Genomic DNA, 23,435 nt, shown 5'->3' on the forward strand with positions numbered 1-23,435 from the left:
AATATAGGCTTTTTCCTTTTTTTTTTTTTTTGAGACGGAGTCTCCCTCTGTCACCCAGCCTGGAGTGCAATGGTGCAATCTCGGCTCACTACAACCTCCGCCACCCCTGGGCTCAAGCGATTCTCCAGCCTCAGCCTCCTGAGTAGCTGGGATTACAGGCATGCGCCACCATACCCAGCTAATTTTTGTATTTTTAGTAGAGACAGGGATTTACCATGTTGGCCAGGCTGGTCTTGAACTCCTGACCTCAAGTGTCAGGAGTTCAGCCTGCCTCAGCCTCCCAAAGTGTTGGGATTACAGGCGTGAGCCACCATGCCTGGCCAATATAGGCTTTTTCTAGCCTGCCTTTCCAAATTATTCCAGCCTCTACCTATCACCTCCGAAACTGCTTATACATTTTCACATTTTCAGGTATCTTTATAGCAATGTCATAGCAATGATCTCATTTCTTGGTACCAATTTTCTTAGTCCGTTTTGCATTGCTATAACACAATACCACAAACTGGGTAATTCATAAAGAAGTTAAATTTATTTCCTACAGTTCTGAAGGCTAGAGAGTCCATGGTCAAAGGACTGCATCTGATGAGGGCCTTATTGCTGCATCAAAACGTGGCAGAAGGCATCACATGGTGAAAGGGTAACAGCATGCCAGCTCAGGTCTCTCTTCCTCTTATAAAGACAACAGTCCCATCATGGAGGGGGGCATCCTAATAACTTTAATTCTAATTACCTCCCAAAGGCCCCACCTCCTATCAACATATCAATTTGGGGGTTAAATTGCCAGCACATGAAATTCAGGGGACACATTCAAACCACAGCAGACATAAATAGACAAAGATTGATGGATTACCAGAGTGGTATGAGAGAAGCAAAATTGCATCAGAGGATAACAGAAATTTTGAGAGAAAAATTATTAAACACGAACAAAATTGGTCAGACACAATGAGATGGACTTAGCAACAATGCCTGAGGACACTGGAGGGATACTGAGGCACAGGAGGACAGGAAACAATCCTAGATCTTCTTGGCCTCATTACGGCAGCAGGCTATGGATGCCTTAAGACTGAAGCAGAGCTAAATAAGTACAAACAAACATACCCAAAACTCTTTTACCTTGCTGCATTTCACTCTTTCATCATAGTTCACCCTCTCTACTCCCTGCTCTTCCTCTCCCTGTCACCATAACAACCACGTCCTGTAACAAGTGGCAGAGCCATTATCAGGAAAAATAGAAAAAGCAAGCCTGCCCAATGACTTGCCCATTCAATTTAGCCTCAGATTTCTTGTTCTCATTCTCCCCATGAGCTTTCAGTATCTTGAGATGGATGACACCTGCCTATGAATCACTGGAAGGTTTCCAGCTGGATTTGGGTTTTGTTCTACATGTTAGGACAAGATCAGGAGTGTTTCTTGGACTCCTTTCAAGTATAAACTTGGCTAAAAATGGTGAAAATTTTTAAGACAAAAGGAAAGGCACATGTTCTTTTTTAGTCCATAAGGAAATGCAGAAGGGCAGTGGGTTGTATCCTGGGAGGCACAGTGAGAAGAAAATAGTTTTCTAAGTGCATTGGCCTCCAGACCCTTGCTGCTTAGGTGGGGACCCTCTCCCCACTCTCCTTCTGACTGGAGACACTTTTCAAGAGTACTGCCATCTCTAGAAGGATCACGAACCCTGGAGTTCAAGAACAGCCTGGGCAACATAATGAAACCCTGTCTGTTCCACAAAAAAGAAAAAGAAAGAAAAAAAGGAAACAGTACTGCCGCCCCTGGTCTGCTTCGCATGCCAATTATCCCCATACCAAGTGTGAGTCATTGTGAACTGGCTGGACCTAAAGCCTTTTTTTAGACCCTGAAAAGGCAAGATTTAGAGATGCCCCCGCTCTAAATTTCAGTCAGGGAAAAGATTAAGTTGGAAGGAATTTAAAATGTAGCCTGAAATTAAGTCTCTTTTATTTTAATAACTTAGAAAATCTTTCTAGGGGTTTTATTTGTAAGCAAATTTTATTACCCAATGTTCTGTTCATACTTACTCTGTTACCTGGTTTCCCTATTGCCAGTAAAAATCTGGTAATAGGCTATCAGTGTATGTGTGAATCAATTATCTTGCTCATTAAATGATAAATCATTAATGCAGCTTGAAGGGAAAACGATACAGCTATTTAATCTATTAAATGTAAAAATGGTAATTTCACCCTCCTGTGAAAATCATTCTGTTGTCTCTTCACATTTATGAAGTTCAAAAGCCCTTCATAATTTCATCTTTGCTTGTCTCTCCACCTGCATCATCAGCCACTACCCCTGCTGCCTGGAGCCTCTGAGCTTCAGGCTGACTCCCAGCCTGTGCCTCTGTCAGCATTGGCTCTGCTGGATCCCCTAGCCTGCCTTCCTTCATGGGGTGAGCCCAGTATTTGTCCTTTAGGACCCTGCTATGTATCTGCTCTCTTTCCCTGACTATCTATCCCCACTTTGGGTCACCACTCTGTCTTGTTCTTACTTTCACCATACCTTTTTAAACTGATGCTTGTTTATATTTCTGTGTCCCATAATGAGGATACAAGTTGTCTGGGGCAACATCTGAGTCTTAATTATTTTTTTCTTTCCCGTGCTTAATACAGTACAGTTGACTCTTGAACAACACAGGTTTGAACTGCATGGGTCCACTTATACATACATTTTTTTCAACTAAATGTGGATCAAAAATACAGCATTCTTGGGATGCGAAACTCAAGCATACAAAGGGCCCACTTTTCCTATACTCGGTTCTGCAGGGCCGACTGCAGGACTTGAGTATGCATGGATTTTGATATACACAGGGTCCTGATACCGGTCGTCTCTGTATATTGAGGGACAACTGTCTATACAACAGATAGTAAGGAAGTATGAAATAAATGTAAACTGAAGGAATGATGAACAGACAACCCTTGTGGGTCGTTTGATGGGCTGTAGAGAATGGAATCAGGAGAATGGATCTCTTAAATTGTTCTCAATTTTCAGATTCACATAATCTCTTTTCCTTATGCTTCTACTAAAGCTAGTGTATATCCAAATGGACTAATGTCCAAAATTCTCTTTTAAAAATGTTCACAGAGTACTAAACTTGTATTCATCAGTATGATACTGTTAAAAAACAAGGTTACAACACATTTAGCTTAAAGATCTTAATTAGCTTTTATTTGCAATTCTAGAATCAGGCAACATCTCGTTCCATAAAATAGAATGGGTCTTCTGATGAACTGAGCAGAGGAGCTTGGCTTTATAGACAGAAGAAGGCTCAGGAAAGCAGAAACAGAGAACAAAACGCGGATTGATCATTTCAAAGTTGTTTTCCTTGTAAAGGTTAAAGCAGAAGGGACTTCCTTATCATGCCAGCTAAATCTGGCTTGTTTGGGGATTTGGGTATTATCGTGCACTATCTCATTTTCTCAGAAGTTCAGATAAACCAGCTGAGTGTTGGTGGCATGGAACTTCAGCATATGTGACTCCATTTTGGTTTGGTCTGTTGGACCTAGTGCAGGAATTCGGTCCAAATCGACAGCCTTTAAATTTTATTTTACAATACAAATAAAAATAAAGGTTAACCATGCTTTCTTAACATAGAATGAGCTATTTAATCCCAGGCTCACATAAAGCACACTGCAGTAATACACAAGCAGATCAGTGGAACAGAAACAAGCCCAAAGACAGTATATTCCATACATATTGGGACAATTCCATATACAATGGAAATTTAGTATTTAAAAACTGTTATTACAAATCAGTGAGGAAAGAAAAGAGTGTTCAATAAATAATCCTTGGATATCTGTCTCTCTATTTTGGAAAAAGTGAAAGATAATTTACTAATAACATACATAAATATGAATTACAGAACTAAACATATAAAATGAAACTATGAGAGTATTAGAAAAAAATACAGAACATTTGTGTACTCCTAGGGTGGGGAAGGCCTTTCTAAGTGGGGCATGACATCGAGAGGCCTTAAAGGAAAAAATTGACAGATTTGACTATGTAAAAATTTAAAACCATTACGTAGCAAAATGTGTTATGAATAAATTTTTAAAAAATGAATAACAGATTAGGAGAAAATGTTTGCAACACATATAACAAAAAAGTAATAATATCTAAATTACAGTTTATGAAAAGTTTTTATAATATAAAAACATTTTAAAAAGTTAAACAGAAAATGTACAGAGAAAAAAATAAGTGACTATTAAACATTGAAAAGCTACTCAACTAAAAATCAAAGAAATGCTACTTAATGTGATATTATTTTTCATTCACCAGAATTGGCAAGCTAATACAAGATTAATCACATTCAATGTTGGCAAGGATATGAGCATTGTCATTTGCTATTGTAGAAATGCAAATTTCATAAAGTGTTTGGACAATAATTTGCTTAGCATTTATCAAAATTTTAAATGTATATACCTAGAAATTTAACTTGTGGAAATATTTGTACCATTTAGTACAAGAATTTATATCCCCTCATTATGTGAAGTGCTGAAAAACTGGATTCAATTTAAGAACATATTAACAGAGTGAAGGTAAATAGAAAACAGTATATAAATGCAATGGAATACTACTCAGGTGTTCAAAAGCATAACACAAGTTGATATACTAACATGGAATTTTGTCCACTATATAGAGTTAAATGAAAACAAAAACAGTTTGAAGATCATATACAGTAAATGGTACTATTTTCCCCCTAAAAATTGTATCTCCTATATATGTTCATTTATTTATAATATGTGTATACATAATAAAAAGTCTGAAGGTATATTACTAAATTTTTACCTTTGGAAAAAGGGATGGACTGTGCTTGGAGGGAGAAGTCTTCATTTTTTACTTGATATACTTCTTTTTCTTTTTTTTTTAAGTTGAGCATATCTTCTTATTTTTGTAAATAAGATACTTTTTAAAAAATGTATACATTTAGCTAGGCCTATTGTCTATTATGATATCACCAGAGAAGAATGGCTTAACCACAGGAAAAGGGGACAGAGCAGGGTCCAGATGAACTCTCTGGGTCTACAAGTGCTAAAAGAGGGGCAGAGGGAGGCAGAAGATGTTACATTAATGAGACAGGGAAGAAGGACGTCCAGCACCTAGAACCAGGTGTTCAGGGACAATGGTGAGAAGTGACAGGTCAAGACAAGCTGCCAGTGTCCATGGTCCCAGAGATTTACAGGACATCTTCACTCCCAAGTGGCTGATGAGGAAAGTTGGCTGAAATATGGTTGATGGCAGCAAGAATCAGAAGCCCATCCAAAAGCTTCAAGTGCAGGGGATGAGCCTCAGTGCATAAGGTGGAGCAGAGGGAGATGGCACTGACAAAGAGAACCTTCTGAGGACACATAACCTCGAGTCAGGGAGAATGACAGGTCCACAGCTATAGGCCCATAAAGAACAAGGCAGACTCCAGTTTTAGAACAGTGGTGAGACATCCATTCATGCATAACATGACTACTAGCCAGTGTGTGGAGCAGGGCCAAGTCTACATTTGAGGGTCAGGAATTCTTGACTCTGGGTCAAGAAGGAGGAAAAGCAGGCAGGCTGGCAGGCATTGGTGTCATTCAGGGCAACTGAAGAAACTACAGGCCTTGGCCTCTTGGCTGGCTCTCCAAAGCTGTATAGCTCAGAATATGTTTGGTCTAGACTGTGGATTTAAAAAAAATCCACAACACATTCTAAAGAAGTACTAGAAATAGCAGTGCCTCAAAGTGAGGGCTTCTAGAATTTCTGATATATATTCCTTGGAATAGACTTCTTATTTTGAGGGTCATAAAGAATTGAGAGACTAGCCATGGTTGCACACACTCCACATTAGGTCTGAGCTCATCAGTCTTGATGGTTCTCTCTCCTGAACTCTCGTGAAGGCAATATCTACTTGTAGTTGATGGAGTATCAGGCAAAACAAAGTGCTGTCTTAGATTTATGAACTCCTTTATCACTCAAGGTAAGGAGATTCCAGAATTCAGAATACTATATTTTTATCTCATGCCTGGGACTAGATTAAATGTTGAAGTACATGATAGATGAAGCTGGAATTAATTAGTGTCAGTCTCATATAAATTGCTTATGCTAAGTAACAGTGAAATCAAGGTAAGTAGATGTGATACATTACCATTCCTCTTCATTTAACCCAGCTGCGAGGTGGGACAGGAGGAAAACGCACTGCATATGCAAGAAAAATGGCAGCGTTGGTGATAGATTTACATTCATTTCCTTTTCAGAATGTTCAGGAGATGCTCTCAGGAATCCAAAATTCATATTCACTGTATAAATCAGCTCTATGCTTTCATTGAAAAGCATTATCTGGTTTGTTCTATTTAGCAATAATATAACCCTTTATTTTAGCAATGCAAACTTGCAAGGAAAATTGGGAAATTTTCAACGATTGAAATATTAAAGTGATAACACCTTTCTAGCTAAGTTTTGAGTGAGATGAGCTTCCTCAGAGCCTGGCACACATGACAGGAGGGAGGAGTCAGTGTTCTTTTTGACTTTGCTCATATGCATTCAGAAGTCAAAGCCAGGCTATCCCCAGGATGTACAGAGTCAGATCTGATGATCAACTCCAAAATCTTTTCTGAGTCACCACGTCCCTGTTCTCTGCAAGGAATGAGGACTCAGTGACAAAGCAGAGAATGGTCCTGACCTACAGAGGTTCCAATCTGGCAGAGCACCACTCAAGTGTGTCAAAGAGGACAAAGTGCAGGAGAGGGATTGGGAAAGGAGAAACTGCAAAAATCTAGTTTGCTAATTTTACCACCCACCTAAATGTAATGAAAGCACTTTTTAAATTTATTAAACGAACACATATATGCTAGGCTTGGGGTTAAATGCTAAGGACACCAGGTGAATGTCAAGAACCCTTCCCTGGAGAAATTAGTTGGAGAGATAGACACATAAACAAATAATGTGGAAGGTACAACAATAGAGAAAGGACAAAATATTATGGGAGTGCTTGCAGGAATTGCGATGTCCTCATCATGACATGACCCTGGGCTAGGTCTCAGAGTAGAGAAAAGGTCACCCTTCAGAGGGGGAAGGGTGTATGAGACAGAGGGAACTGCAAAAGCAAAGGCATAGTAGCCTGAAATATATGGTCAGAATTTTTACCTATCTGATTGTCAATAATTTTAAAATGTAAATAATATTGTATGGACACTCATGTTGAAAACAAACCCTTTCCTGTGCTGCTGATTGGAGTGTAAATTGGTATGAACCCTTACTCAGGATAATTTGGCAAATTTCTCATGATTACAAAGGCACCTACATTTACTCTAGCAATTCCTCTTTTAGGAAGTTGTCCTAGAGGTACACTCACCCTGGCGCAAATTGTGCTAAGTTAATGATGACGGCACTGTTTTTGAGAGCAAAATACTGGAAATAACTTAAGTGTATGTCACAGGGAACTGGAAAAATAGACTTTGATGCAGTCCTGCACCAGAATAAATGGCACCACGAAAGAATGAGAAGCCACCTTATGATTGGATATGAAATTATCTCTAAGATATATGATTCAGGAAAAGCAGAAGGTACAGAACGACAGTATGGAAGATACTATTTGTGTAAATAAAGTGAACAAAATAGAACAAACATAAATATTTTGTAACTGTGATGGTTAATTTTAGATGTCAACTTGTCTGGGTTAAGGGGTACCCAGATAGCCGGCAAAGCATTATTTTGAGTGTGTCTGTGATGGTGTTCCTGGAGAATTAAGCATGTGAATCAACAGATTAAGGAAGATCTGCCCTCACCAGTGCAGGGTATCATCCAATCTGTTGAGGGCTTGAATAGAACAAAAAGGCAGAGGAAGGGAAAATTTGCTCTCTCTTCTGCTGCTGAGGCATCCATATTCTCCTGTCCTCAGACATCAGAACTCCAGGTTCTTGGGCCTTTAGACTCTGCAGCTTACACCAGTGTCTCTCTGATTTCTCAGGCTTTTGACCTCAGACTGAGTTGCCCCATCAGCTCCCCTGGTTCTTAGGCCTTTGCACTCAGGATGAATGACACCAGTTTCCCTGGTTTTCCATCTTTTCTTTCTTTTGTCTTTTTTGTTGAATCAATTGTAGTATATTTTAAATAAGTCAACTTAAGCCTACATGTATCAACATGGACAAGTCCCCCAAAACTCATGTTAATGGAGGAACTTGTACAATTATATTAAAGTATAATACTGCTTATATCATGTTTTAAAACATCATAGTAACCTGTATATTCCATCAGTTATATACATGCAACAATATTATTAAAATAGTAAATAAGAAACTATTATTTAGCCAAATAATGCTCACCAAATTGAACATAGTGATTTCTGTAATAGTCAGGATAGAATAGGCCATGGTGTGGCAATAAGCTTATCCCCAAATTACAGTGGCTTATAAAGAAAAGATGGCCAGGTGCAGTTGTGGGCACCTGTAGTCCCAGCTACTCAGGAGACTGAAGTGGGAGGATCGCTTGAGACCAGAAGTTTGAAGCTGTAATGCACATGATTGCGCCTATGAAAATAACTGCTGCACTCCAGCCTGGAAAACATACCAAGACCTCATCTCAAATAAAATAAAGGTAAGTCAAGAGAAAAATAAAGACAAGACATATTCGTCACTCATCTGATGTGAGTCAGGCAGCCCTCATCTCTTGACACTTGGGACAAATGGTCTCCAAGATACATCCTGGTTTTCCATCTTGCAGATGTCATATGGCAGGACTTCTTGGCTCCATAATTGCATGAGCCAATTCCCATAATGAAGGTCCTCTTTATCTCTGTATCTATCTGTCCATCCACCCATCCATCCTATTGGTTATGTTTCTCTGAAGAACCCTGACTAATAAGTAATGTATGCACAAAATGTTGCTGAAAAGACACAAGAAACTTATAAATGTGTTTCCTCAGAAGAAGAAGACATCTGGGAGGTGGGGTACAAGAGTGGACAGGAGAATGTGCACTATATGCCTCTTGAATGTAGCCATATAATGTGGTTTGGATTGTGCCCCTGCCCAAATCTCACGTTGAATTGGAGAAGGGGCCTGATCGGAGGTGATTGGATCATGTGGGTGGATTTCCCCCTTTCTGTTCTCATGATAGTGAGTGAGTTCTCACAAGATCTGATGGTTTAAAAGTGTGTGGCACTTCCCCCATCTCTCTCCTGCTACCATGTGAAGAAGGTGCTTACTGTCCATCACAATTGTAAGTTTCCTGAGGTCTCCCAGTCATGCTTCCTGTTAAGCCTGTGGAACTGTGAGTCAATGAAATCTCTTTTCTTCATAAATTTCCCAGTCTCAGGTAGCTGTTTATAGCAATGGGAGAACAGACTAATATACCATATTACCTGTCAAACATAATTAGATGCCTTTTTAAAATGTGTGGTTTGTTTGGAGAATAGTCTACTGTGACTGCAATTAAGGATGTGTATGAATGTATTGGCAAGTGGAGCTGTGGAAGATAAGCCTCAAACGGTTGGAGGTGAAGGGCTTTTTATCCCAGCTTAAGATGAGAGGCCCACTGTTATGGTAGTGTGGTGTTCCGAGCACTGTCTTCGGTGGTGAAAAGATGTTGCTCTAGACTTCCACCTCCGCCGTGTCCTGATTGCCTGTGGCCTTGGGAAAGCCACTGATGTTCTTCAGTCCAAATCTGCCTCTCAGGTGAGGTAGCTTGTGGGACAATGCCTGGCCTTGTTTCAAGGCATAGTAGGCTCTCAGTTTAATCTCTCTACCACCCTCCTTTCTTTTCCTTTCTTTATTCTCCTATGCTCTGGGCTGCTCAGTTCTTGCATTTATATATATGAATCAGAGAAAGAAAATGTCTGAGCAGGTCATTCTCCACTGACCCAGTTCACCTGGGTAACAGGGAGTTCACTAAGGCTAGAAGAGGGGGGCATCTAATTGTTTGGTACCCATGCTTTCGCATGTCCTCTTTTTTATAATAAAAAGGCAGTTATAAAATAAGTCTCCTTGTCTTAATTATTTTATTCACCAAGGGACACATTACCACAGTTCCATGCAACTCAGAGGGCGGTCTGATGAATCAGGACAGCACGAAGAAAACAAATTGAAAATGAAATTGAATGTGAAAGCATAATTCTGAACACAGAAGTGTACTCAAATTAGCTCAGGCAATTCCATTTAATGTGCTCTTGCCATTAGGAAAATATCATTACTCTGTAGTTTACTTTCTTCCTGGAGTGACTGAGTGGTTGAATAAGGCTCAAGACGTCACATGAGCTATTTATAAGCATGATAGAGAAAGTAAAAGGTGCGTTTAGAATGCAATGTGCTGCCTAAGGAACCCTGGAGACTGGACATTTGTATTCTCAGGACCCACACCCTTTGTGGTGACAGGACCTGAAGAGAATAGGGATGAGAGCCCCTAAAACCATCCTAATACGGGAATGGAAGTGGATGAGGTTTCCAGGGACTATTTATTTTGGTGAAAGGTAATATTCTGGTTTCTAGATTTCTATAAACGGGAAAGTGTCTTTCTACTTCTCCCAGATTCTTCCCTGTTTTGTTTGTTCTTGTATTTATTCAACACACATTTGCTAAGTGCCTATTATTTGTCTAACATTATATAACACAGTCGGAAGGCAAAGAAAAATAAGACAGTTTCTGTTATCAGAGAGTTCATTCCATGGTGTACCCCTTTACCTCTTCTCTATTAAATTTGCCTTCTTCAATTCATAATGCCTGTGAATATCAACATCAAACACACAGACACATGCACACACAGAGCAGGTTGTTGCCAAAAGGTTGGTAATGTGAAAAATGCATTAGGACACTTTTTATATTTCTGTGGACAAATCAGGCCTGGCATTGGCATGTGAATTTGATGCTTCAGCCAAAGAAACAGTCAAGAAAGTTATGGTGAACCAAAGACCTAGTGTGCTTACAATGCCCCCTCAACTAAGTATCCAATCTTAGCATGACCAGAAACAGAATGAACTGAAATTATGCACATCTTGATGTAATACAATGGGAAATACACAACATTCACTGAATCTAGTTAGGAGAAAATAATCACAGAAATCCAGAACATGTGGTACTCTACAAGACAACTGACCCCGACTTAAAAAATGTCCCTGTCATATGTGGTAGCCACCTACCAAGATGGCCCCTGGTGATACTAGCCTCCTAGTATTCATGCTCTCAGGCAGTCCCTTCACACACTGAATAGGGCTGACCCATGTAAATAACAGGGTATTTCAGAATTGACTGTGGATGGCTAGGATAAATTCTTAGAAGAATTAGAAGAATTTATCTTAGTGATATAATTAAAGGTAAGCACAAAGATTTAAATACAAGACTTATCATATTTTAATAGTAGTCAAAATGCAACTTTCACATGGATATTTTCGAACTATTCTTTATATTTTAGGTCTATTTTAAATATGCCCCAAACTTTAAAAAAATTCAATTGTCAGCTATATAAATATTCAACCAATAGAAGAATCATTAAGTTACATCAATATTGTATAATAGTAATGATTCTAGCATTGAAAATTATATTGAAGATGAGTTGTTATTGAGATTTTTAAAAACCTATTTCAAGTGAATAAAAGACATAACAGTTCATCAGGAATAGTATGATCTTATTTGTAGAAAATATATGGGTATAAAAACATCTGGAAGGGTAATTCCACCAAAGTTTCCACCAAGGGATTGACTATCTCTGGGTCAAAGGAAAATGGGTACTTTCACCTTCTTTTTACTTGTCTGCATCTTTAAATTATCTTCAATGAATATACAGTAAACTTGCTATAAGTAAATTTTTTTAAAAGGTTATTCTTGTTTTTAAAATATGGGGATGCTGTTTTGTTTTAATGACATATGCTTGTATCCAAATTGACTGTTACCCTACCTATCCCCAGAATTAGGTTAACTTCTTTCATGTGGAAGACATGAATTATAGAGATAAAGTGAATCTTGGTGAAGTTAAAACGATCCCGTTTCCCCAAGTTAACGTACAAGTGACTCCTAACCAACCCTGATGAACAGAGTGTCTTCTCTGCGGTTAATTTGGATGGTCCAATCTGAACCATCAGTCATTCGTCTCCCCTTGCCCTGAACTACTGCCCCGATGCTGCTGTGTCTCAGAGGCCTCCTTCTGTGAGTCCCCATTGGCTCATCGGTCCACCCCACTCTCACACTCTCTGTAGCTGCTCCAGGAAGGCAGTACTGGCTGCCCTAATTCTGGCGTCCCCTCACTGGGACCACTGTAATTGCTAGGGGCTCCTCCTGGTTTTGCCCACTGCTTTTGTCAGTACCACTGGCTCTCACTGCTGCTACTGCTACTCTCTTTCCCAAAGATGACAGGGCCCTCTCTTCCCCCTTTCTGTCTTTCGCAAAAAGGAGAAAAAGCCCACACTGCCCGCAAGGCTCCTACTCATACCTGGATCTCACCAGCAATTTCCCAACTTCTTAGCTCAGGAGCTTAGAAAAGAAGGACTCTGAGTCACAACTTCCTGTTCCCATACAGAGCTATACCAGGGTGGGCGGGAGTGGGGAACATCTAAACCCTCAGGTTCTCAGAAACCAAAGCATTCCTCACTTCGACTAATTCACAGTCGACTCCACGGGGGAGCTTGCCTTTCTATTCCAAATTGTGACGTGAGGTTCCAGTTACTCAGGGCACTTGCAAATTCCCTGAAGTCAACCACTCTCACCACATGTGTGCAGTTGCGGCCTGAGGGATTAGGAGTTTTCAAAATGCCTTCCCATACACCTTCACATGTGATTATCACAAGTTCCGTGAGGTCAGGTATTCCCATTTGAGACTGATGTTCCTGGGGTCAGCATGGAAAGGGTGGGAATGGGACTGCTCTAAAGAGGCTGCTGGAGTAGAAGGCAGATGGTAGCCTTCTCAAGGACTAGGGAGTGAGAAAGGGCAAACCTCAGTGGATCTGCCAACATGCAAGGCCATCTCTCACACTGGCTCATTCCACAGCCAGCACAGCTCAAAGGCCTTCTCACACACCCCAAGAGACCCTCAAGAGTAGAGCTGGTAGGCTCTCTGAATTTTCCTTGTGAAATAATCTATACAAATGCACAGTGATTTAATGCTGGTGTGGATGGTATCCCAGGACATGAATGGGATAGAAAGCCTGTGGCACCCTGCTTGCCTTCAGCCAGGTCATCTGATGGATGACAAGCCTATGTCTGCTTCAAAGCCAACCTGGCCTGGAGAAGGTAGACCTGGGTGCAAATCCTGACCTTGCTGCTTATTAACCATACGGCAGTGGCCAAGTTACTTAATTTCTCTGAGTCTCAGTTTCTTTATTGGTAAAATGGAGATAAAAGTCACTTTTGGGGTTATGATGAAGAGCAAAGTACTGGAAAATAGTTGGTGCTCAATATATTTTAGTTTTCATCTTGCAGTCCAGAGGTCTTCTGGCTACATTATATATTTTCTCTTAATACAAACACCCAGGTCTCCTCAAGTGTGGGGAATAACACTCTCATTTTTTTTTTCTAAAAGGAAGATAGGGCAAGGAATACACTCTGATTTTTGATGAGGTGGGCAAATGACAGAAAAGAAAAGTTCATTGCTGTGCTACACAGTCACAATTTGAGCTCCTGTGAGGGGCTCCTGCATTCTGACATGAACATATGCTGCTTCAACTTTCTCACAGCAGAAGTCACCCGGAAGCCAGGGGCCCAGCTGTTTGAAGCATTAGTTAGTTAAGCTGCCAAGCTGTGGGATGTGGAGAGCACAGGCCAGGTTGGCTTTGAAGCAGGCATAGGCTTGTCATCCATCAGACGACCTGGCTGAAGGCAAGCAGGATGCCACAGGCTTTCTATCCCATTCAGGTCCTGGAATACCATTCATGCCAGCATTAAATCACTGTGCATTTGTGTAGATTATTTCACAAGGAAAATTCAGAGAGCCCACCAGCTCTACTCTTGAGGGTCTCTTGGGGTGTGTGAGAAGACCTTTGAGCTGTGCTGGCTGTGGAATGGGCTAGTGTGAAAGATGGCCCTGCAAGTTGACAGATCCACTGAGGTTTGCCCTTTCTCACTCCCCAAGTGGTGAAGGCCTGGAGGAGGCTGCTAACTAAACCTGCCATGACCCAGGTTTGAGTCCAACTTGCCTGTGGCAATGGGGCATGGAGTTGGGGGATGGTCACCAGATGCAGCCTTCTGTGGGGTTCTGGGACAGAGCGAAGATAACAGTCTAAGATATAAATCAAACCAGAAAAGATGACTTACAAAGCAAGCAGATCAGGGATTCTGGAGAAGTGATGTGTGATGACAGCTCAGCAGATGGAGGGAAGATGAGCTTGGAGGGATTGAGCCACCATTCAGGGAAGAGCAGTAACTTTTTAAGGGATGTCTGTAGCCACTGGTGTGTTTGAGCCATGACCAGTGAAGAGGGCCAAGAAGAGAGCATTATTCATTTTAATGTTCCTAATGCAGTGCTTGACACAGGATAGCCACTCATCAAATATTTCTATTGGATGAATGGATAAGTTTAGTGGAGCCAAAGCATAAAAGTCAGCTTTACCCTTTTCCTCAGACCTGGTGAACAGGACTGCTATAGAAAAACCCTTGTCCCTCCTAGCCCATTCAAGCATAAAGAAAGAAATTTAAGGGATTAATGTTATTTTTTCTCTGTGAATTGGGAGCTTTTATTAAACTTTCCAGAGATTATTTTTAAATTTTTTTAATTGACAAATATAAATTGTATATATTTATGGTGTACATGATGTCTTGATAATATGTATACATGGTGAAATAGCTAATCAAGTTAATTAACATATGCATTACCCCACACACTTATGTTTTGTTGTGAGAACACTTAAAATTCTACCCTCTTAGCAATTTTTCAGTAAACAATATATTGTTATTAACTATAGGCCAGATAAAATATTAATCCAGAATATCTCTGGGCCTTGCCAACAGTAATTCTACCTCTGAATTCTAAAGAGGACCAGAGCTTTCCTAGGATGTGCTCTAGGGAGTGAAGTGGTGGGTTCAGGGAAACACAGGGTTAAAGATGCAACTTAGCAAATGCTTTCCAGTTTCTGCACTGTGGGCTGAAAACTACTGGGGTAGGATCTACAGGCTTCACTGCTGGAGAATTGCCACGCAGAGACTGCTAGGAGAGAAAAACCACAAGCTCACATTGTTGGTCAGTGCAAAGTCTCATGATTGACGAAGGAGAGTTTGCTTTTGACTAAAATCAATTCTCACAGGGTTTATTTTGGCTAAAAGGTTTACAGAGTCCAATACAGAGAGTGAACCTGTCAGAGTCCAGGGCAGACAGGTTTGTAGAAAGAGCTTATTCCTTTAGCTTCTCTTCCCTGGACTTTCGCAATTTATTTTGTTTTATTATTTTTTGTTTTGAACCAAATTCAAAATTATAAGATAAAACTACTACATGTTATTTTATTAGATTTGATTCCTCTCTTGAGGCTGCCTAATCTTTTCAGATCCTAATTATGCAGTCAAATATATTCAACATTTATGGAGTATCTACTCCATGCCAGGTGCTTTGTATATTGCCTCTAATTTGCATAATAAGCCTGAGGGTAAGTGTCTTAGTCTGTTTTCTACAGCTATAACAGAATACCACAGACTGGATAATTTATAAAGAACAGAAGTCCATTTGGCTCACAGTTCCAGAGGCTGGGATGTCCTAGAGCATGGCACTGGCATCTGAAGAGGGTCACCTCATGGAAAAAGGCATCCCGTGGCAAGTAAACACATGAGATAGAGAGGGAATGGGGGCTGAACTTACCCTTTTATCAGGATGCCACTCCTATGATAACTACCCCATTCCCTGAATCATGCCATTAATGCATTCATGAGGGTGGAGCCCTCATGACCTTAGCCCCACCTCCCAATACCATTACATCATCTGTCAAATTTCAACATGAGTTTTGGAGGGGACATTGAAACCATAGAAGTAAGTATTATTATTATCTCCAATTTATAGGTTGCAGGGTTAAGGCTCATCAATAACTTGCCCGAAGTAACATGCTAATATATGGGAAGAAGTAGGATTTGAACCCAGCATTGTTTTTTCATTCCCAAGCCCAAGACTTGGTCAGATTATTATATACTGCATTAGCAGCTTTGATGAGGATGGTCTCTAGGTCTTCACCCAGTCACTGATAAAAATACTAAGCCTGATACCAGGGCCTGGACCCAGGCACTAGTCCTGCCACTCAGAAGCTGCCTCTGGTCACCTTCTTGGCTTAAGGGCACATAGTCTGAATCTCCTGGTGCTTTGCTATTAGTATAGATTTCTCCATGCTCACCAGAAGGGTATCCTGGGACTTCATTGTAGGACCTTGCCCAAACAGGGGGACCTATGCCTCCATCTTCCTTATCTATGGTCCAATCTTACTTTTATTAAAGAAAAAGTTAGATTTGTCCACCATGAGTTTTTACTTAAAGAAACCATGCTAAAAACTGCGGTCAGATTTGTATCTCTTGCCTTCTTTTCTCACCTTCCCCTTCCCTTCCTGCTGTCCTTATGTTGTTTTACTAAGGATTTGAGAAGTCTTATAGGAAAAAAATCATACAAAATAATGGTAAGCCACAAATAAACACTACTAAGCAGGACCAATGAGTTTAAATCAGAACAGGACAACTAACCAGGGGCAGAAAATAGGATCCAATTATCCAGACTGTAAAGGTTTTCATAGTTGATATAGTCAAGCCTGAAGCTGTTTCTAGCAGCTTATAGCAAAATTTGAAACAGTACGTTACATAATTCTTATCAAAATTGAAGAAAAGAAAGTTTGTGCTGGTTACACAGCAGGAAAAAAAAAAGCTTTGCCTTCTATTTAGTTCTAAAAAAAATGTTCCCATCCTGTTTTATTATGAGTACTAAAATCAAATCTATATGCTCATAATCAACCCTTCCCAGAATCCTGCTTAGAATTCATCTAATCCTAACCTGTCTATTGCTTGCAAAATCCACTTTCTTTCTCTGTGTGAGAAGTGAAATTAATTCATCTCTGGTTTCTAGTACTTTCAACAACTTTTACAAGTCCCCAGGGAGGCTCCAGGTGATACTGAAAACCAACGGGGAAATTTCCTGGAAGAATAAAAGAGAGTCTTACTCAAAATAATTGCATGTGTGGGATATGCATTAATTTAACAGACTTGAGCACCTACTATACATGGAATTAAATGATAAGCTCAAACTTTGAATCCTTCTTTTTACAAAAATAAGATGAACTGTGTTGCCATGATATTTCATAGACAAAAATAATTTTGTTGAAATAAGTATTTAGAGAATTCAAGCATTAGGCTACTTATTTTCCTTCTCAGCAAATAAAAAAGAGAAAGTCAGGGAATATTTACATTTTGGTGGCCACAAGACTACTATGAAAATGGAGCAGCATTAGGAGCCTAGGCAAGTGTGGCAAGAGTCTTCCTTAAATTTAAAACATTGCATACTCTACTGCTTTTTCATCTATGAAATATGACATACAACATGGTTCATAAAGTCTACATGGATGATTTAGAGAATAACTATAAAGCAAATACCCATGTAACTCCTACTCTAGTCAAGAAAGAATATTGCCAGCACCTCAGAAGCCCCCTTGTGCCCCTTCCCCATCACAAACCTCTTTACCCCAAATAGTTAACCGCTATCCTGAATTTTGTGATCATCATTTTCTTGCTTTTCATTTCTATTTCTGACCACTGTATACAACCTAAATCATATCATTTTGTTTTGCCTGGTTTTCAATTTGATATAAAGAAATCACACAGTGTGTATTCTTGTATACTCTGCACATGCATATATCCTGGTATACATGTGCACCTGTTTTGCTACAGAATATTCCTAGGAATGGAACATTGAGTCTTAGGATATATGTATTTTCAAATTTGCTGAATAATGCCCAGTTGTTTTTCAAAGTGGTGGTACCAACTTACAATCCCTATCTTGGCCACCATATGGTAGTGTAAGATGTTTCAGTTTCACCAGTCAGGAGGATATTTAATGTTACCTCCTTAATTTTCATTTTCCTTGTGCTTAATAATGTTGAACACTTTTTTTTTCTTATGCGTTTTGTGCATTTGGATATCCTCTTGCAAAGTGCTTGTTCAACATTTTTTGTCTATTGGGTTATTGTCTATTGTTTCTTATTGATTTGTGGGAGTTCATCATAAATTCTGGATTCTAGTAATTTGTGGGAGTTCATCATAAATTCTGGATTCTAGTACTTTTTTGGTTGTGTGTGATGCAAACATCTTTTCCCTCTCTACAGCTTGTCTTTTTATTTTCTTGACAGTGTTTTTTGAAGGATAGAATTTCTTAATTTAATGTGGTCCAATTTATCAAACTTTTTATTATTAATATTTTTAACCTTTTTAAAAGAATTATCCTCTAGTCTTAATAATCTTATCGTCCACATGGAATTGGCTTTGTGTATGATGTAAAGGACAACAGTTTTATTTTTATTTATATCAATAATCCAGTATTCTCAGCACCTTTTATTGCAAATACTGATCTTACTACATTAATCTACAGTGCCACTTCCATCGTGTTTCAGTGCCCATGTGTTAATAGATTTATTTCAGAGCTCTCTACTCTGCTTCTGATGGATTTATCCCTTCACTAAACCACATTGTCTGTCTTAATTACCATAGCTTTAAAATTAGCCTTGATTTCTGGTAGACAAAACTCTCCCCACCCCATTTCTTGGGGGGAAATTTACATTTTAACAACATTGAGTCTTTGAACCTATGATCATAGCATACTTCTCAATTTATTTAGGTCTGCTTTAATTTCTTTTAGTAGTATTTTATTCATTTCTCTGTAAGGTCTTAAACATATTTTATTAGATTTATTCAAGATATTTTATATTTTTGTGGTAGGTAATCCAAAAAATTCTGTTCTCCAGTATCCTTCACTGCTGCAACAGACACATGTGGCCTGGGTCTCACCAGTCAGATCCACCCACATAAGATTTTAATTACAAAGTGAGCAACTTGAGGAAAGTGGCCCCACACAGAAAAGAGTTTGCTGGAGGGTGCTGTGGCAGAACTCTGGCTGAGTTCCAGAGCAGAATGGGCATCACTAGGGCAGTCATGGTTGAATTCATCCCTTTTTTAGTTACAGCATGGCTTTAACCACTGTTCCTGATAGCTTAGCATCCATACAAGCTACCCAATATCCAGAGTCAGTGCTGTTGTTTGCAACTGATAACACTGATCCTGTTGGACATACAACATTTTTTAAATGTAATTTCTTTAGCATTTTCTTGCTAATATGTAGAAATACAACTCAATTTTATATATTGCTTTTTTATTCAGCAATTTTCTCAATTCTTTTATCAACTTCATTTATATTTTTAAAATACATGTATTATCTTCAAATTGTGACAATTCTATTTCTTCTTTTCCAGTCCTTATACCCAACTGCCCCCTTTCCTTCCTCCTCCTTCTCCTCATCTTCCACTTATTTCTTTCTCTTCCCTTCTCCTTCCTTCTCTTTCTTTAAATATCAGATCGAATTTGCATTTAGAATCAGATGGAGCTTGAGTTTTCTGTGTGGAAATTTTTTTGCTACCTGATTCAATGTGTTAAATGATTTTTCACTCTATTTTTTTAAGTGATCTTCTTGCCTCCCCTGCACCCAGCCCACTCTATTCATTTTCAAAGTTTCTTAGTCATCAGTTCTGACATATTGCATGTTTCATATAAACTTTCAAATTTACTGCCCTAAAATTAGTCATAATATCTTCTTACTCTATTTTAATATCTGTGGCATCTATAACGATGTTCCTTTCTATTATTGGCCACCTCCTCTCTTTTTATGAATCTTGCTAAGAATTTGTCAGTTTTATTAGTTTACAAAGAACCTTTCTGTTATATGTTTGTTTTCTACTTTATTAAAATTTTATTATTTTCTTCTTTAATATTTCCTTGCTGTATGAATGCTTACCTCTTTAATTTTTTATTTTGCTGTTTGAATGCTTAATTCTTTAATTTTTTTCAGTCTTTTTCCTTTGCTAATATAGACATTGAATGGATAAATTTGTTTGAGTCCTGCTTGAGCTGCATCTCAAGTTTGGTATGTCATATTTTGTTAATTATCAGCATAAAATATTTTCTAATTTCTTTTATGATTCTTTTTTGATCTCATGTTATATAAAGTATTTATAATTTCCAAAAATATAGAGATTTTCTTGTTATATTTTTGATATATATTTTTAGCTTTATTGCATTATGGTCAGGGAGAATGCACTCTGAATGAGTGCAATTTATTGAAATGTATTGGTCATACATGGTGGCCCTACTGGTCAATTTACAAAAACATTCTATGTATGTTAGAAAATAATATGTATTCTGCATTTGTCAGTTAGAGCACTGTATTCATATCCAGCAGGTTACAATTGTTACTTGCGTTGCTAAAGTTTTGTATGTATATGGACATAAAGATGGGAACAATAGACACTAGGGATTCCAAAAGAGGGGAGGGATGGGGGCAAGGATTAAAAAACTACCTATTGAGTACTATGTTCATGTGATGGTTAGCATTGAGTGTCAACTTGGTTGCATTGATGGATGCAAAGTATTGTTCCTGGGTATGTCTGTGAGGGTGTTGCCAAAGGAGATTAACATTTGAGTCAGTGGACTGGGAGAGACAGACTCACCCTCAGTCTGGGTGGACACCATCTAATCAGCTGCCTTCAGGGCCAGAATAAAGCAGGCAGAAGAAAGAGTAGAATGAACTAGCTTGCTGAGTCTTCCAGCCTTCATCTTTCTCCTGTGCTGGATGCTTTCTGCCCTAGAACATCAGATTCCAAGTTCTTCAGCTTTTGGACTCTTGGATTTATACCAATGATTTCCCAGGGGCTTTCAGGCCTTTGGCCACAGACTGAAGGCTGCACTGTTGGCTTTCCTACTTTTGAGGTTTTGGGACTTGGACTGGCTTCCTTGCGCCTCAGCTTAGAGAGAGCTTGTTGTGGGATTTCACCTTGTGATCATGAGTCAATTCTCCCTAAGAAACTTCCCTTCATATATACTTCTATCTTATTAGTTCTGTCCCTTTACACAACCCTGACTAATACAGTTTACTATTTGGGTGACGGGTTCAGTTGAAGCCTGAACCTCAGCATCATGTAATATACCCATGCAACAAACCTGCACATGTTCCCCCAAATCTAAAATTTAACAACAACAAAAAAGTGTATACTTCAGACTCATTTGTCTGCTTCTTGTACCAATGACTAAAAGAATTATGTTAAATTTGTTGCCATGATTTTACATTGATTTGTCCTTGTATTAACAACTTTCAATTTATATATTTTTGAGGTCATATTATTGGATGAATAAAATAGTAGAGTTGTTACATGTTTTCTGGTAAACTGAATGTCTTGTCATTAAAAAGTGATCTTATCATTAGCAAAGGTTTTGCTCTAAAGCTATTTTAATTAATACTAATATAGCCATATTGACTTTCTTTTGGTTAACATTCACATTGTGTATCTTTTCTTTTTATTTCGACCTTTCCATATACTCCAATAAGCAGGATTATTCCCCTAGTTTCTCAGATTTTAAGTTTTTTTAGCTGAGATATCTAATATGTTTACATTTAATGCAATTACTGATATACTGTTAGTACTAGTGGATTTAAATCTACCAATATGATATGTGCCTCCTATTTGTCCCACTAAGCCTATATTTATTTTCTCTTCTTTCTTGCCCTCTTTTTGATGGATTTTTAAAAATTCCATTAGCTCAGAAGTGTCTATGCTTTTAGTGGCTACCCTAGAAATTAAAACATGCATATTTAACAAACCCGTTAGAATTAATCAATTCCTTCCAGACAACACAAGGACATTGGAGCACTTTATTTTATTTATACCTCTGATAATTTATATATTACTATGTTTCTTCATTCTATTTTTTAATCACACAAATTATTAATATTGTTGTATAGTCCATGTTCATTTCACATTACTCACATATCTACCTTTTCTTTCTTCCCCAATTTTGTACCTCAGGCTGTCATCTGTTATTATCGCCTATCTATTTGAAGTTCATCCTTTAGAATTTCTTTCTAATCAGGACTCATTTTGGTAAGCTCTTTTCATGTTGGTTTGCCTGAAAAAAAAATTATTAATTTTATGCTCATTTTAAAGTTATGTTTTATAGGTTTTGGAGTATGGGTTAGCACTGCATTGCAGATAACATTCTCCTGTTTTCTGGCTTCCATAATGTTCTTTATTTATTTTTTTAATAGTTGGATTATTGCTATGTTGCCCAGGCTGGTGCACCATGGCTCTTCACAGGTGCGATCACTGAATGCTGCAGCCTCAAATTCCTGGGCTCAAGAGAGCCTCCAGCCTCAGCAGGTGTGCACCACTGCACCTGGCCAGCACTGATGTTCTTGAGCAGTCATTTGTCAGTGTAACTATTGTTCTTTTGAAGGTAAGCTTTTTTACTCTAGCTGCTTTTAAGATTTATTATTTGTATGCCAAAACTGTATATAGTTTGGTGGGACTTGTTTTTGTTTATCCTACTTGGGAATCACAATTCTAAATCTATGAATTGCTGTTTTTCATCAGTCCTGGAAAATTTTTAACCATTATCTAACCCAGTATTGCCTCTGCCCCATCTACTTTTCTTTCTAGCACTCTAAATATATATATATAATATATATATGCATATATATTAAAGTATATTAAATATATATTATATATATTAAATATACATTAGAACTTGTCATTCTGTCCTTCATGTTTCTTAGCTTCACTTTCATGTTTTCTATATTTCTATCTCTCTATGCTGCATTCTATCTAACTTTTTCTGGCCTATTTTCCATTTCCATAAATCTCTCTTCAGCTATGTATAATTGGCTCTTAAATCTGTCTGATGGGTCTTATATTTTGGAAACTACATTTTTAATGTTTAGCTCTAGTTGATTCTTTGTGTAATCTCCCAGATCATGTTCAATTATTTCCTCCTTCCCTGCAGTTACTTTCAAATTTGTATTCATTTATGTAAACAAAATAAGCCTTTAAAAAAATACACAGCTGACAATTCTAATATCCGAAGTCCTCGTGGCTCTCTGTCTGCCAATGTTTGTTGTTGTTGTTTTTGTTGTTGCTGTTGTTGCTTTGTTTGGCTGATTCCCAATTAAAGTGCTTTGCTTCCTTGTGTACTTAGTAAAAGTTATGTAGGCTGATCACCATCCTTGAAATATTATTTGTGTTGTTCTTTAGGATAAAAGATCTTTTCTCTAGGAAGAATTTGTGTTTTCTTCTGTAAGGCATCTAAGAGGCATTTCCAGGCTAGTACCATCAGGTGTTGTGATGTGAATTTGAACTATAAGTCCATAAGAGGGCTGATTTTTTGTTTCGATTTCACAAGAATGAGGTTTTTTTATTTCTTGTTTGTTTGTTTGCTTGCTTACTTGCTTGTTTTTATTCCTTCTTGGCTCTATTTAATGTTAAAGTAACTTTCCT

General features: G+C 38.5%; 2 annotated features.

Moving 5' to 3' along the window:
• Positions 1,146–1,440: an enhancer, noted in NCBI's record as "tiled region #15019; HepG2 Activating non-DNase unmatched - State 24:Quies". NCBI's record gives its function as "activates a minimal TATA promoter and a strong SV40 promoter by Sharpr-MPRA in HepG2 cells {active_cell/tissue: HepG2}" and the evidence as "EXISTENCE:reporter gene assay evidence [ECO:0000049][PMID:27701403]".
• Positions 12,552–13,409: an enhancer, noted in NCBI's record as "H3K27ac hESC enhancer chr11:92764815-92765672 (GRCh37/hg19 assembly coordinates)". NCBI's record gives its function as "activates a minimal SCP1, AML or CMV promoter by ChIP-STARR-seq in naive H9 embryonic stem cells {active_cell/tissue: H9 hESC(naive)}" and the evidence as "EXISTENCE:reporter gene assay evidence [ECO:0000049][PMID:30033119]".

Source organism: Homo sapiens, chromosome 11, assembly GCF_000001405.40.
Source record: "Homo sapiens chromosome 11, GRCh38.p14 Primary Assembly".
Taxonomy (NCBI): Eukaryota; Metazoa; Chordata; class Mammalia; order Primates; family Hominidae; genus Homo; species Homo sapiens.